This window comes from Homo sapiens, chromosome 1 (assembly GCF_000001405.40).
Source record: "Homo sapiens chromosome 1, GRCh38.p14 Primary Assembly".
Taxonomy (NCBI): domain Eukaryota; kingdom Metazoa; phylum Chordata; class Mammalia; order Primates; family Hominidae; genus Homo; species Homo sapiens.
Genome location: NC_000001.11, coordinates 31,182,161 through 31,197,736, shown reverse-complemented (window position 1 = coordinate 31,197,736; position 15,576 = coordinate 31,182,161). Strand labels below are relative to the sequence as shown.

General features: G+C 50.5%; 1 protein-coding gene across 1 annotated transcript in view, besides 1 other annotated feature; it reads left to right on the top strand.

Annotated features, from left to right (window-relative positions):
- Positions 1-15,576, top strand: part of NKAIN1 (sodium/potassium transporting ATPase interacting 1) — a 60,143-nt gene that overhangs the window by 42,151 nt on the left and 2,416 nt on the right. Inside the window, exons 2-5 of the mRNA NM_024522.3 lie at positions 9,550-9,687; positions 12,410-12,490; positions 13,723-13,920; positions 15,147-15,207. Of these exons, the coding sequence (NP_078798.2) occupies positions 9,550-9,687; positions 12,410-12,490; positions 13,723-13,920; positions 15,147-15,207 (478 nt within the window). The remainder of the gene's footprint in view (positions 1-9,549; positions 9,688-12,409; positions 12,491-13,722; positions 13,921-15,146; positions 15,208-15,576) is intronic.
- Positions 13,461-13,755: an enhancer, noted in NCBI's record as "tiled region #5533; HepG2 Activating non-DNase unmatched - State 13:Ctcf". NCBI's record gives its function as "activates a minimal TATA promoter and a strong SV40 promoter by Sharpr-MPRA in HepG2 cells {active_cell/tissue: HepG2}" and the evidence as "EXISTENCE:reporter gene assay evidence [ECO:0000049][PMID:27701403]".

Below are 15,576 nucleotides of genomic sequence, written 5' to 3'. Positions count from 1 at the left end.
CATCTCTACTAAAAATATAAAAATTAGCTGGGCTTGGTGGCAGGTGCCTGTAATCCCAGCTACTCCAGAGGCTGAGGCAGGAGAATCGCTTGAACCCGGGAGATAGAGGTTGCAGCAAGCCGAGATCGCGCCACTGCACTCCAACCTGGGCGACGAAGCTGGACTCCATCTCAGGGAAAAAAAAAAAAAAAGGCCGGGCACGGTGGCTCATGCCTGTAATCCCAGCACTTTGGGAGGCCAAGGCGGGCAAATCACAAGGTCAGGAGTTTGAGACCAACCTGACCAACATGGTGAAACCCCATCTCTACTAAAAATACAAAAAATTAGGCCAGACGTGGTAGCTCACGCCTGTAATCCCAGCACTTTTGGAGGCTGAGGCGGGCGGATCACGAGGTCAGAAGATCGAGACCATCCTGGCTAACACGATGAAACCCCGTCTCTACTAAAAATACAAAAAATTAGCCGGGCGTGCTGGTGGGTGCCTGTAGTCCCAGCTACTCGGGAGGCTGAGGCAGGAGAATGGCGTGAACCTGGGAGGCAGAGCTTGCAGTGAGCCGAGATTGTGCCACTGCACTCCAGCCTGGGCGGCAGAGTGAGATTCTGTCTCAAAAAGAAAAAAAAAAAAAAAAAAAGTAAAAATCCAATCATAAGCACTGTGGAAAAAATAAAGGAAGGAGGGAGGTAGGGAGTTTTGCAGAAAAATATAATTTTAAATAATACTGACTCTTCTTGCAACCCTATGAGGAAGATACTGTGAATCATACCCATTTTGTTAACCAAGAAACAGGCACAGGAAGGTTAGTGCCGTGCCAAGAGTTGTATAATAACCAGCACACCAGGATTCTGACTCAGGCTTTGCTCCTGACCACTAGGTCATCCTGCCTCTGGGACGGTGCCATGGGGCAAAAGCCAGAAAAGAGTGCTGCTGGCAGGAGAGAGGGCAATTGAGGTCAGGTAAGATGAGGACTGAAATTCATCTGCTGAATTTATTATTTATTTATTTATTTATTTATTTATTTATTTATTTATTTATTTATTTTTGAGATGGAATCTCACTCTGTCGCCCAGGCTGGAGTGCAGTGGTGTGATCTTGGCTCACTGCAACTCCCACCTCCTGGTGGAGGTTGATTCAAGTGATTCTCCTGCCTCAGCCTCCCTAGTAGCTGGAATTACAGTTGCCCACCACCATGCCCGGCTAATTTTTCTATTTTTTTTTTTTTTTTTGAGTAGGAGTCTCACTCTGTTGCCCAGGCTGGAGTGCAGTGGCACGATCTCAGCTCACTGCAGGCTCCGCCTCCTGGGTTCAAGCCATTCTCCTGTCTCAGCCTCCCGAGTAGCTGGGACTACAGGCGCCCGCCACCACGCCTGGCTAATTTTTTGTATTTTTAGTAGAGACAGGGTTTCACCATGTTAGCCAGGATGGTCTCGATCTCCTGACCTCGTGATCCACCCGCCTCGGCCTCCCAAAGTGCTGGGATTACAGGCGTGAGCCACCGCACCCGGCCAATTTTTGTATTTTTAGTAGAGGCGGGGTTTCACCATGTTGGCCAGGCTGGTCTCAAACTCTTGACCTCAAGTGATCCACCCACCTCGGTCTCCCAAAGTGCTGGGATTACAGGCCTGAGCCACATCACCCGGCCTTATCTGCTGAATTTAATGACAAGGAGATCGCCAGTGACCTCAGTAAGAACTGTTTCAGTGGCCAAGCAGAAAGTCACTCTGGCAGATCGAGTGGCAGGGAAGGCCATGGAGACCTTTTATGTAGTTTTGGGGGTGAGAGTGTTGAGATAGATAAGGCTGATATCAGCTGCAAGGTGGTAAGAAGCTTTTTTTTTTTTTTTTTTGAGACAGGTAGGCTATCACAGCTCACTGTAGCCTCAGCCTGCTGGGCTCAAGCAATCCTCCCACCTCAGCCTCTCAAGTAGCTGGGACCACAGACGTGCACCACCACGCCCGGCTGAGTTTTTGTATTTTTTGTAGAGGTGGGGCTTTATGCCATGTTGCCCAGGCTGGTCTCAAACTCCTGAGCTCAAGCAGTCTACCCACCTGGGCCTCTCAAAGTGCTGGGATTACAGGCATGAGCCATTATACCCAGACACTTTTTTTTTCTTTTTTTAATGGGAGAGGCTTTGAGCTTGTTAGGAGCCAGTGAGAAGGATCTGGGGAGAGGGAGAGGCTATGTTTACAAGAGAGAAGGGACTGTGGATGGTGTGGGCTCCTGAGAAGACAGGAGGAGCTGGATCCAGAGTGCAGGTGGCGGGGGCCAGCCGCGGCGGCAGGGCAGGGCAGGGCAAGGCAAGGCAGAAAGAAAGAAAGGCCAGGCGCGGTGGCTTATGCCTGTAATTCCAGCACTTTGGGAGCCTGAGGCAGGTGGATCACCTGAGGTCGAGAGTTCAAGACCAGCCTGGCCAACATGGTGAAACCCCGTCTCCACTAAAAAATACAAAAAATTAAGCCGGGCATGGTGGCGGGTGCCTGTAATTGCAGCTACTGGGAAGGCTGAGGCAGGAGAATAGCTTGAACCCAGGAGGCGGAGGTTGCAAGTGGGCCTAGATCGCACCACTGCACTCCAGCCTGGGCAACAGAGCGAGACTCAAAAAAAAAAAAAAAAAGGAGGAAGGAATATATAGAGAAGAGAGAGAAAGAGAAGAAAGAAAAAAAGAAAGAGTCAGGCGCGGTGGCTCACGCCTGTAATCCCAACACTTTGGGAGGCTGCGGCGGGTGGCTTATGAGGTCAGGAGTTCGAGACAAGCCATGACTAACATGGTGAAACCCCATCTCTACTGAAAATACAAGAATTAGCTGGGCATGGTGGCACTCGCCTGTAATCCCAACTACTTAGGAGGCTGAGACAGGAGAATCGCTTGAACCTGGGAGGCAGAGATTGCGGTGAGCTGAGATCCCGCCACTGCACTCCAGCCTGGGTGACAGAATGGGACTCTGTCTCAAAAAAAAAAAAAAAAAAAAAAGAGAGAGAGAGAGAAAAGGAAGGAAGGAAAAGGAAAGGAAATGAAAAGAAAAAAGAAAGCAGGCCAGGTGCAGGGGCTCACGCCTGTAATCCCAGCACTTTGGGAGGCCGAGGCAGGCAAATCACCTGAGGTCGGGAGTTTGAGACCAGCCTGACCAACATGGAGAAACCCCGTCTCTACTAAAAATACAATAATTGGCAGGGCATGGAGGCACACACCTGTAATCCCAGCTACTCGGGAGGCTGAGGCAGGAGAATCACTTGAACCCGGGAGGCGGAGGTTGCAGTGAGCCGAGATCACGCCATTGCACTCCAGCCTGGGTGACGAGTGAAACTCCAAAAAAAAAAAAAAAAAGGAAGGAAGGAAGGAAAGAAAAAAAAGGAAAGAAAAAGGGAAGGGAAGGGAAAGAAAAAGGAAAAAGAAAGAGCTGGGTCAGGGGAGAACAGAGATCAAAGGCAGAGAGGACTGATGGGCAGGAATGTGGGGCTTCCTCTGTGAGCATTGGCAGGTGAAGACAGAGATGTGAGGCCTGGGTGACATGTTCTCATCTGTCACTCTGGGATTACAGTCAGGGGGCTCATTCTGTGTGGCTGGGATGAGATTTGTATTTTAGAAAAAGTAACTGAGTGGGGTGGTGGCCAGCCTTCCCCTGGCGGGAGATCAGGGAGAAGTCTGTATCCACTGTCCCCAGGAACTTTCACCCCAGCTCACTTAGGAGAGGGATTCAAGAAGCTATCTTGGCTTGGCTTGCAGCTCTCTAGGTAAAAATATCTCCAAACGAAGGAAGGAATTTTTCCCCCAGTGCACATGCATTTGCAATTTATGCAAAGGAGTAGATTGCTGTTGCCTCTGCACAGTTCCTGCCTTCTAAGTAACAAAGACACAGCAAGGCCGGTTATGATTTACAATCACCACAGCCCTCAGATTAGTGTTTCGGAGCTGACGCAACCAGGTGGGAAAGGTATTCCTCTTATTTTGTTCTTATTATTATTTGTTAATTAGCTGCATGTAACTGCTACACAAGCAGAAGTCCTGTAATATTTGACTTGGTGTTTGTTTGTTTGTTTGTTTTGAGACCGAATTTCGCACTTTCACCCAGGCTGGAGTGCAAGGGCACGATCTCAGCTCACTGCAACCTCCACCTCCCGGGTTCAAGTAATTCTCCTGCCTCAGCCTCCTGAGTAGCTGGGATTACAGGTGCGTGCCACCACGCCCAGCTAATTTTTTGTATTTTTAGTAGAGACGAGTTTTCCCCATGTTGGCTAGGCTGATCTCGAACTCCTGACCTCGTGATCCACCCACCTTGGCCTCCCAAAGTGCTGGTATTACAAGTGTGAGCCACTGCACCGGCCTTGACTTGGTTTTCTAATAAAAAATAATAACTTTAAAATTGAGATTGTTGCCGGGCGCGGTGGCTCACGCCTGTAATCCCAGCACTTTGGGAGGCTGAGGCGGGTGGATCACAAAGTCAGGAGATGGAGACCATCCTGGCTAACATGGTGAAAACCCGTCTCTACTAAATGTACAAAAAATTAGCCGGGCGTGGTGGCGGGCGCCTGTAGTCCCAGCTACTTGGGAGGCTGAGGCAGGAGAATGGTGTGAACCTGGAAGACAGAGCTTGCAGTGAGCCGAGATCACGCCACTGCACTCCAGCCTGGGAGACAGAGTGAGACTCCGTCTCAAAAAAATAAAAAAATAAAAAAATAAATAATAAAATAAAATTGAGATTGTTTATAAGACACTGAATCTGATTTTTTTTTTTTTAATAGAGATGGGATCTCACTATGTTGCCAAGGCTAGTCCCAAACTCCTGGCCTCAAGCCATCCTCTGGCCTTGGCCTCCCAAAGTGTTGGGATTACAGGCATGAGTGACTATACCCAGGCTACATCTAAATTTTTTAAAAGATATATTTAGGCCAGGCATGGTGGCTCACGCCTGTAATCCCAGCACTTTGGGAGGCCAAGGTGGGTGGACCACATGAGCCCAGGAGGGTATGAGACTAGGCTGGGCAACAGGGCGAGACCCTGTTCTCTACAAAAAATACAAAAATCCACTGGGCATGGTGGGATGCGCCTGTAGTCCCAGCTACTCGGGAGGCTGAGGCAGGAGAATGGCGTGAACCCCGGAAGTGGAGCTTGCAATGAGCTGATATCACGCCACTGCACTCCAGCCTGGGCGACAGAGCGAGACTCCATCTCAAAAAAAAAAAAATTCATTTAAATCTGCACTCACCATCGGAGGAAGAGACGGCCTTTTCCAGGCCTGGGTCATAGCCCTGAATACCCCGGTTTGTACTGATTTCCTTCCCCTCCTCTACTAAGTGGGTCCTGAGTTCCCAAAGGGCAGGGACCCCAACTTCTTCACTTCTGCATCCCGGAGCTAGCACAAAGCCTGACATAGACTAAACGTTCTGTGAATAAATAAGTGATGAACCCTGGCTGGGTGAGGGCATGTCAGATGTGGGATGGATGGATAAATGGGTCTAGCTGGTTATAGATAAATGAGTGAATGATTGTTGGGTGTGAGGATGAAGGAAGGCCAGAGCCATGCTGAGAATGGGAAGAACAGCCCCCACTCCATGTCAAGTGGAGAGAGCAGCACCTGTGGGCCAGTCAGGGAGGCCTTCCTACCAAAAGAGGGAACTGAGCTACACTGTGAAAACTAAGGAGGACTTGGATAAAGCCAAAGGGAGGCCCAGCGCAGTGGCTTATGTCTGTAATCCCAGCATTTTGGGAGGCCAAGGCAGGAAGATTAATTGAGGCCAGGAGTTCAAGACTACTCAGGGCAACATAGTGAGACCCAATCTCTACAAAATATTTTAAAATTACCCAGATGTGATGGCACATGCCTGTAGTCCCAGCTACTAAGGAGGTGAGGCAGGAGGATGCCTTGAGCCCAGGAATTTGAGGTTACAGTGAGCTGTGATCACCACATTGCACCCCAACCTGGGCAAAAGTGCAAGACTCTTTCTCAAAATAAAATATAAAATAAAAAATAAGGCAAAGGCAAATGAAGGTAGGACTTTAACTGCTGTTACAGCCTCTTGGGGGCAGGAGCTGATGGGAAATACAGGATTGAGCCAGATCCTAGTGGGCCCTCGGTGCCAAACTAAGAAGCTTAGACTGTTAAGCCTTCTATTAATTAGCCACTATGTATCAAGTCTAATTGTCTGTTAGTTTATGTGATATCTCTATATCCCCACAACAACTTCTCAAGAGAGGGATTATCTTCTCTATTTATAGTTGAAGAAATAGATTCAGAGAGGGAAAGTGACTTGCCCTAAGTCACACAGCAGAGCTGGAATTTGAATCTGAGTTTAAATGACTACAAATCTGCTACTGCTTTAAAAAAAAAAAAAAAAAAAAACCTCTCTCTGTTTTCTATCAATAAGGTCACAGAGAACAGAGGGGGTTTGAGTGGGTACCACTTTGGCTGGAGATGATATCACCTCTTAGGTGGATTTTTTTTTTTTTTTTGAGACAGAGTCTTGCTCTGTCACCTAGGCTGGAGTACAGTGGCGCGATCTTGGCTCACTGCAGCCTCTGCCTCCCAGGCTCAAGCAATTCTCCTCCCTCAGCCTCCCAATCTGCTGGGAATACAGGCATGTGCCACCACACCCAGCTAACTTTCGTATTTTCAGTAGAGATGGAGTTTCACCATGTTGGCCAGGCTGGTCTTGAGCTCCTGACCTCAAGTGGTCCGCCGACCTTGGCCTCCCAAAGTGCTGGGATTACAGGCGTGAGCCACTGCGCCCAGCCTTAGGTGGAAATATTTGGCAGGGTGCCTCCTCAGCTGCACCATGAGCCTGGATTGCTCTGTCACAGCCTCCTCCGTCCTCTGATGGAGACCTTCTCCCTTAGGGCCAGGTAACAGCTGAGTCAAGAACATCAAGCTGGACCCCAGAACACCAAGGCTCCCAAGGCCAGGCAGAGTCAGGGTGGAAGGAGGAAGAGTGGAGTGGAGGAAGTGTGGGATAGGAGCAGCAGACAGAGACCGTGGCAGAGGCCCCTGGACAAGCCTGGGGAGTTTCTCCCCCAAGGCCAGCAGCTGATGGAAGTCAAGGCTGGAAGGGCCCTTGGAGATTACCTAGTCCAGTGACTTCCATGCATGGAAGAGGAGCCCCAAACCCAGCGGGGAAAGTGGGCTGCCCAAAGTCACCCAGGAGTCAGAGGCAGACTTCCCACCACAATTTACACCTCTTGACTCCCTTACCAGTGCCAAGATGGGAAAAGGTGGTGCCAAGATGGGACAGGTGGCTGAGAAAGGCCTATTCTGCCACCAACCTGCTGTGTGACCTTGGACAAGTCACTTCCCCTCTCTGAGCCTCATGTTCTCTTTCCTCAAAATGAAATAATGATTCCAGCTCTGCCTTTCTGCCAAGGAGCATCCAGTGAGAGATGAGCTTTACAATCTGCACATCCCTGGGAGGGGAGTCACCGACAAGAGGCAGGCTGGTGCCAAGTGGGTAAATGCCAAGGTTGGGCCTGGCACCACCAGGCTTCCCTCACCACCTTACCCAAGCCTGCAGCTTCCTTGGTCTCTGCCCAAGCCTTGCCATCTGTGTGGTAGCATCAGCTCCACCTCCTCCTGCCTCCCTGCCTGGAAAAAGGCTTCTTATATCTTCTCACTTTATCTGAATATTCCCTCCCCCTCCCCAGCCAGACCCTCTTCTCTCCTCTTCTGTTGTAGTTAGGACTCTTTGTTGCAAATGACAAAAATCAGCAGGACAAGGAGGGAGAACCAGCTTTAGGCATGGCTGTATTCAGAGGCCTGAAAGATGGCTCAGGACATTCCCTTGTGTGTTCAGTCTTCCTCCCACACACACTCTCTCTGTACCTTAGCTATGGCTTTCTCCTCAGGCGGGCCATCCACCTGAGGTGGCCAAGGCAGCCACCAACAGCTCCAAGCTCACACCACACCCATTCAGGTATCCTGGCAGGATAGCAGCTCTGTTCTGATTGTTCCAGCAAATATCTAGGGTGATTCTCAGGGGCAGAGCATGGGGTGAGCGCCTATCCCTAAATTCATCATTGTCTTTGATTATTTGGCTAGACTTGGCTTACCTGCCCACCCCAGAAACTAGAAATGAGTCAGCCCCACTCAAGCCATGTGGACAGAGTGGTAGGAGGTGGTTCTTTAAAGCAAAATTTGGCTGGGCGCAGTGGCTCACGCCTATAATCCCAGCACTTTGGGAGGCTGAGGTGGGTGGATCATTTGAGGTCAGGAGTTCAAGACCAGCCTGGCCAACATGGTGAAACTCTGCCTGTACTAAAAATACAAAAATTAGCTGCGTATGGTGGCAGGTGCCTGTAGTCCCAGCTACTCGGGAGGCTGAGGCAGGAGAATTGCTTGAACCTGGCAGGTGGATGTTGCAGTGAGCTGAGATAGTTCCACTGCACTACAGCCTGGGCGACAGAGCGGGACTCTGTTTAAAAATAATGATAATAAATATTTAGAAATAAAAAATAAACGACCATTTTATTTAGTTCATGATTCTGTGGGTCAGCTGGGAGATTCTTCTGGTCTGGGCTATGTGTCTGTGGTCAGCTAGTGACCCGGGGTGATCTAGCATGGCCTCGCTCACATGGTTGATGGCTGATGGGCTATTAGCCGGGGTGCCTTCGCTCTCCTCCCCGTGGCTTCTCATCCTCCAGCAGGTCAGCTGGGGCTTGTTCACAAGGTGGTCTTGTTATAAGTGAAGCAAGTTGGCAAGCTCCAATGAACGCCGTTTTTTTTTTTTCTTTTCTTTTTTTTGAGACGGGGTCTCACTCTGTCGCCCAGGCTGGAGTGCAGTGGCATGATCTTGGCTCACTGCAACCTCCGCCTGCTGGGCTCAAGAGATTCTCTCACCTAAGCCTCCCGAATAGCTGGGACTACAGGTGCGCACCACCACACCTGGCAATGGTTTGTATTTTTTGTTGAGACGGGGTTTCACCAGGTTGCCCAGACTGGATGCATGCATTTTTCAAGCCTTTTTCAAACATGGTTTGCATTGTGTTTGCCAAAGTCCCTTTAGGCAAAGCAAGTCGCATGGGCAAGCACAGCATTAGTGTGGAAGGGCACTACTGAAGAGCATGGAAATAGGAAGAGGAGGATTCGAGGCCAATTTTGCAATCTATTCCAGCTCCTTCAGGGAAGGGGAGTGAAAAGCATTCCTTCTCTGTAGCCCAGGAATGCCATGGGCCAGGGCAAGCTCCAGATGGGGATCCTTGGAAGAGGTGACTCGGGCTCCAGGACTTCCTTGCCCTCCAAGGCTAGGGGTGGCAGTCTGGATTCTGATCCCACCATCTTCTCCACATGGAGAAGGTGCAGGAGCTTGAGCCGCTAGAGGGAAGGGCCTCCTTGGCAGGGAGGAAGGTGTTCTGAACCCTCACTCCTATCACCTTTCAGCCCACCCCAAAGTGATGATCAGGCTTAAGGACCCCCCAGCATCCCTTTGGTAGTGAAGGACTGGATTGTTCTGAGGCTTATGCCTCATCACCATGGTAACTGGTGCCACCTGCTCCCCAAGGTCAAGCAGGAATCCCTGTCCTTCCCTTTCAGGGGGGTGACAGTGGCCTCAGCCTGTCTCTTCCACAGGTGGCTGCGCTGGAGCGGCAGATCTTTGACTTCCTGGGCTACCAGTGGGCTCCCATCCTAGCCAACTTCCTGCACATCATGGCAGTCATCCTGGGCATCTTTGGCACCGTGCAGTACCGCTCCCGGTACCTCATCCTGGTACGGCTCACCTAGCCCCTTCCCAAGCCAACTCCTCTCCTCACCCCTGCCCACTCCACCCCTCCCTGCTCCTCAAAACCAGAACTGCCCCCCAACACTGGGGCACTGGTCTTGGCTCCACCCAAAACAAGATGGGGTGAATGTGCACAGCCCCATGCTTCTTTGCTCAGAGGAGACAAGGGTTTTTTTTTTCCTGAAGAATTTTTTAGGGAAATAATCCAAATATAAACAAAATGGATCATGTAGTGAGTGCCTGGCACGTGCCAGGCACGCTGCGAAATTTCACATGCTTCATCTCATGTCTACAATAGCCCTGTGAGGTAGATCTTAACAGCTCCATTTTCCAGATGAGGAAACTGAAGCTCAGAAAGGTTGCGAGTCTTCCTAAGGTCACACAGCTAATGAAAGCAAGGCAGGATTAGAACATCAGATCAACAGTGAAGGCTCCTGCTGCGGCACCACACGGCCTCAGGAAGGGGTGGGCGCAAGGACACAGGAGGGATGGGCTTCATCTTATTTAGTTTCTCAAGAAGCTTCAGGAAGGCTTGGCATTTGTCTCTCTTGCCCGATGTACATCAAGGATGTGTTCTGGAGCAGCTAGTGTGGCTTTGAGGTCAGTGCCTCCCTGCACTCCAGCCCCAGGAGTCTGGGTCTCTCTCCTCCTCCCCGACAGCCTCTTCCCAAGTCCTGGTCCCTGATAGTCTCTGTCAAACTCCTGCTTTCAGCTAGATTCACCCATATTCCCTGCTGTTCCTCAGTGACCTCTTCACATGGCTCTCTTGAGGGAAAAGGCTTTTCACTAGATTTACTACATACATGCTTGACACCTACAATCACAATGACATGCAATGTCATGCTGCCTCCAGAGCCCACACACACTCATTCTAGGACTTCTCTCCCCACCTCCACAGGCTCAGTTCCCAGAAGCCAGGTGAACAGGACCCTAACAAGGCTCTCTCTCATCTGACATAAGAGAACACTTCTCTCCAGTTCTCAGGAAAGCCCCAGACACCACTGTCAACAACACTATCTGCCAGGTGACAGCCACTAGAATTGCAGGCACAGGACTTGGGTAGAAGCATCCAGGTCTCAAATCGACCCTAACCTCCTCTCCAGCTCACTACCGTGGGTGGAATGCTGTTCTCCCCAGAGGTGGCCACATTCGGGATGTGGGAAAACTGAGGGGCCCAGGGGCCTCAGTGCTGACCTAGCATTGCTGCTCCAGCATTGCTGCTCCCAGTCCCTCCCATCCCAGCCCTCTCCTTCCAGACAGATGGAAAGATTGCTGGAGCGGGGCACATTGACCTGTGTCATTCAAGTACAATTTATAGAGCAAGGAAGGGAGGGAGGAAAGTGATGGAGTGAGGGCATCCAGGGCCCAGGCTGGACTCCCGTTCTATGCTTGGGGTCTCAGTTTGGTCTGCTCACCCCAGCCTTTCTCCAGGCCCCATCCATGATCCTGCCTCCACCTGCCCTGGTTCCCTTATACCCAGACTCCAGCCACAGCCATGTGAGAAGATGTCACACACATACTCAGGCACAAGGCTGCAGGATAACCTCCTGTCTCTTTTGGTCTAAAGTTCCCAGCATCCACTGCCCTCCAGCCTGGGTGACAGACCAAAATCTTGTCTTAAAAAAAAAAAAAAAAAAAAAAACACAAAAGAATTAAGACTTTTTTTTTTTTTTTGAGACGGAGTTTCGCTCTTGTTGCCCAGGCTGGAGTCCAGTGGCATGATCTCAGCTTACCACAACCTCCACCTCCCAGGTTCAAGTGATTCTCCTTCCTCAGCCTTCCGAGTAGCTGGGATTACAGGCATGTGCCATCATGCCTGGCTAATTTTGTATTTTTAATAGAGACAGGGTTTCTCCATGTTGGTCAGGCTGGTCTCAAACTCCCGACCTCAGGTGATCTGCCCACCTTGGCCTCCCAAAGTGCTGGGATTACAAGCGTGAGCCACTGCGCCTGGCCTCTTTTTTTTTTTTTTTTAAATATGGGTTTTCTCCATATTGCCCAGGCTGGTCTTGAACTCCTGAGCTCAAATGATCTGCCCACCTCAGCCTCCCAAAGTGCTAGGACTACAGGTATGAGCCACTGCACCTGGCCCATTTCCTATAGTCTTAATGGGTTCATCCAGCTATTCTGTGCTAGGCATTGGCATTGCAGTGGTGAGCCAGGCAGTCAGAGTCCTCGCCCTCTAGTGGCTTACCACCTGGAACATGTTTCTGAAAGTGTCATCTGAGTCACAATCTCCTAGGGATTGCTTAAGCAATCCCTTTTAAACATCCCTAGAAATTCAGAATCAGTAGGTCTAGAGGTAGGACCCAAGAATCTGCATTTTTGACAAACATCCTTGAATGATTCCAGTATTCTAGAGACAGCTGGTCTAGAGGATGTTGTTAGCACAGTGGATGGGATTAGCTATCAGAGAACTTGATTTGAGTGGCAGCCCTACCTCCTCCTAGCTGTGTGATCTTAGAAACCTTAAACTTCCTTTCAGTTTTAAGTTAGTTCTCTCTAAAAGAGGGCAGTGCTGACCTTGCAGGGCTGTTGTAAGGCCTGATGGGTGTGTAAATGATTTGTAAGCTACACTGTGCTCTCTGAGTGAGGTATTCTCATAATTTCCCCTGCCCAGATCTCCTCATCCCTGAGCTCTGTCTCCATTGACACTCCCCATCCCCCACTCCCCAGGCCCCACCCTGATCCCACCTCTGCTTTCCCCAGTATGCAGCCTGGCTGGTGCTCTGGGTTGGCTGGAATGCATTTATCATCTGCTTCTACTTGGAGGTTGGACAGCTGTCCCAGGTAAGCCTCAGACCTGGCAGTGCCATAGGGCAGAGCCTGACCATTCCCATCCCCTGCCCTAAGGGTACTGTGGTATAGGACCAGAGCATCATGTCTCGAAGAAGTCTCTCTCTCCTTACATGCCCAAATAATCTGTGTGCCCCATTTCCTACTTACACAATTTATTTCTGGCTTCCTCAAACACAATGATGGAGCAGATAAGGCTGAAGAGCAGTCCATGTGAAGATGAGCCAGGGGTCCCAGTTGATCACAAGCTCAGTAAAAACCAACAGTATGTGGGAGCCCAGAAAGCTACTCTTAGGCCCCGCTAATAGAGGTAGAGTATTCAGAGCAAGGGAGGTGAAAATGCCATGCGCTTTGTAGTGCTTAGACCACAAAGATTTGGGTTAATTCTGATCAATATTTTTCAGAAGGGAAAGAGACTAGTTAGAGTTTGTTCAGGGAAGATTGAGCAGACCAAGAAAGTAGGACTGTTTCGCTTGAATAAGAGCAAGCCCAGAGAGACACAACTTCTATTTTTAGATATAAAAGAGGCAAAATATGTGAATTTAAGAGCATTGGCTTTGTAGTTTGACCCTGCTAGATTCAAATCCCAGCTCTAAAACCTTCTAGCTGTATTACCCTGGGCAAGTGGCTGATCCTCTCTGAGCCCCAGTTTCCTCATCTAGTAAGTGGACATAAGAGCAACTGCAACTTCATGTGGTTGCTGAGGGGATAAAATAAGGTCACACATCTGAGTGCTTGGCCCCTGGTCGGCAGGCAGTGAGTATTTATCTGTTGAATGAGTGACTGCATGGATGGGCACATGGGTACACACCCTGGGTAAGAACTTCTGATCTAGGCCAGCCCCTTCTCCATTTAACAAATGTGGAGACCAAGGCCCCAAAGGAGAGGTTCGCCCAGGGTCGCACACAGGGGGAGCAGTGGAGATACTGAATGGGCTGTTAAGGGGCTGGTACTGAGGATTTCACCTGTGGCTGGGAAATTGTTAATGTTCCTTCCAGCTCTGAAAATTCTGAGGCCCCTGTGAGTCCACACAAACCCCTTCCCATCTCAGTGACAAAAGAGTGAGGCCTGTGTGGTCATTAAGTGCCACCTGTTGGTCAAATATGGACTTGCAGGTGCAGGCTCCCTGAATCCCTTCACCGATCAATATAGTCTTCCTGGGCTGGGGGAGTAGCTCCCCCCTCCCTCTCCCTCACACTCAGTATCCCAGGCCCCTTTGCCCCCAGGACCGGGACTTCATCATGACCTTCAACACATCCCTGCACCGCTCCTGGTGGATGGAGAATGGGCCAGGCTGCCTGGTGACACCTGTTCTGAACTCCCGCCTGGCTCTGGAGGACCACCATGTCATCTCTGTCACTGGCTGCCTGCTTGACTACCCCTACATTGAAGCCCTCAGCAGCGCCCTGCAGATCTTCCTGGCAGTAAGTCCTTCTGTCCCCCACCCTACACACACTTCCCGATCCCTTTCTTTAGCTCTGGTTGAGGGGATGGGTTGGGCGCAGTGGCTCACGCCTGCAATCCCAGCACTTTGGGAGGCCATGGCTGGTGGATCACCTGAGGTCAGGAGTTCAAGACCAGACTGACCAACATGGAGAAACCCCGTCTCTACTAAAAATACAAAATTAGCCAGGCATAGTGGCACATGCCTGTAATCCCAGCTACTCAGGAGGCTGAGGGAGGAGAATTGCTTGAACCCAGGAGGTGGAGGTTGCGGTGAGCCAAGATTGCACCATTGTACTCTAGCCTGGGCAACAAGAGCGAAACTCCATAAAAAAAAAAAAAAAAAAAAAAAAAAAAAAAAGAGGGAATGAACCTAGGTCTTCCGCCTGTCTGTCCTTTTGTCTGGATCTGTTTCCATATCCTGTACCGTCTTCCCTCACCGCTGCCCCAGCCCCTGTGCAGAGTGAACAGGTTTAGTGAGTAGGATGAGGCATCAGACTATGAATCAATCCTGGGTTTAAGTGCTCAATACACCCACTATGTGACTTTGGACAAGTCACCTGCCTTCTCGGAGCTTGTTTCCTTATTCACAAAAAAGAATGACAATACCAGCCTCAGAGTTGTGAGAATAAGAAAGTGACCCCAGTGGGCGTGATGCCTCATGCCTGTGGACCCAGCTACTTGAGAGGTTGAGGCAGGAGGATCACTTGAGCCCAGGAGGTTGAAGCTGAAGTGAGCCATGATTGCAGCACTGCACTACAGCCTGGGTGACAGAGTGAGACCCTGTCTGAAAGAAAGAAGGAAAGGAAGGGAAGGGAAGGGAAGAAAAAAAAAAGAAAGAAAGAAACTCCAAGATAGGAGTAGTTCCTGTTTCTAGAAGGGCCAGCCCTGTCCTAGGCACTTTGTACCCACAAAGTCACATAATCCTCTTTCTTCTTAACAAGCCATAAGGTATTGCCCAAGTCCAAGTGGGAAAACTGAGGCTCAAAGAGGTAAAATGATTACTTGTCTCAAGTTACACTTTCAGAAGAGTTAGACCATGTATGTTTGACTTTAAGGTGAAAACATTTAATTGGAAGTTGTTACGGTTTGCCTTCATCCTGGCATGCCTCCTCCCTTGCCAGTCAGAGCGTACAGGGCCCGGCAGGGGGCGGAGGAAGAGGTTCCCACTCCTCCTTCCTCCCTGACGTGTCATCTCCACTCCCAGCTGTTCGGCTTCGTGTTCGCCTGCTACGTGAGCAAAGTGTTCCTGGAGGAGGAGGACAGCTGTGAGTAAGGCGCCCCTGGGGAAGTGGGGAATCTGGCCCTGCGCCTTCAGCACCCTGGACAGAGGCCTGTGACTGGCCCCGGCGGGAGGGAGCCCAGGGTCGGCCACGGGCCCCTTTCGAGGGGAAGAGGCGGCTGGTATGGAAGGCTCTGCATACCAGCCCGTTCCAGGCTGGGGTCCAGACGTCCAGGTGCCCAGTCCCTGGCCCCAGCACCCCCTTTCCCCAATCTCGCCCCACCCCATCAGAGGTCTTGTCCCGTTTAGAGGCTCTAGCCCCGCCCCTGAGAGCCTTCTCTCCCATAGGACTGCCCGGCCTCCCAGGCCCAAGCCTTAAGGACTGGGGCCTGACCCTCAGCTGGCCCGGCCTCGC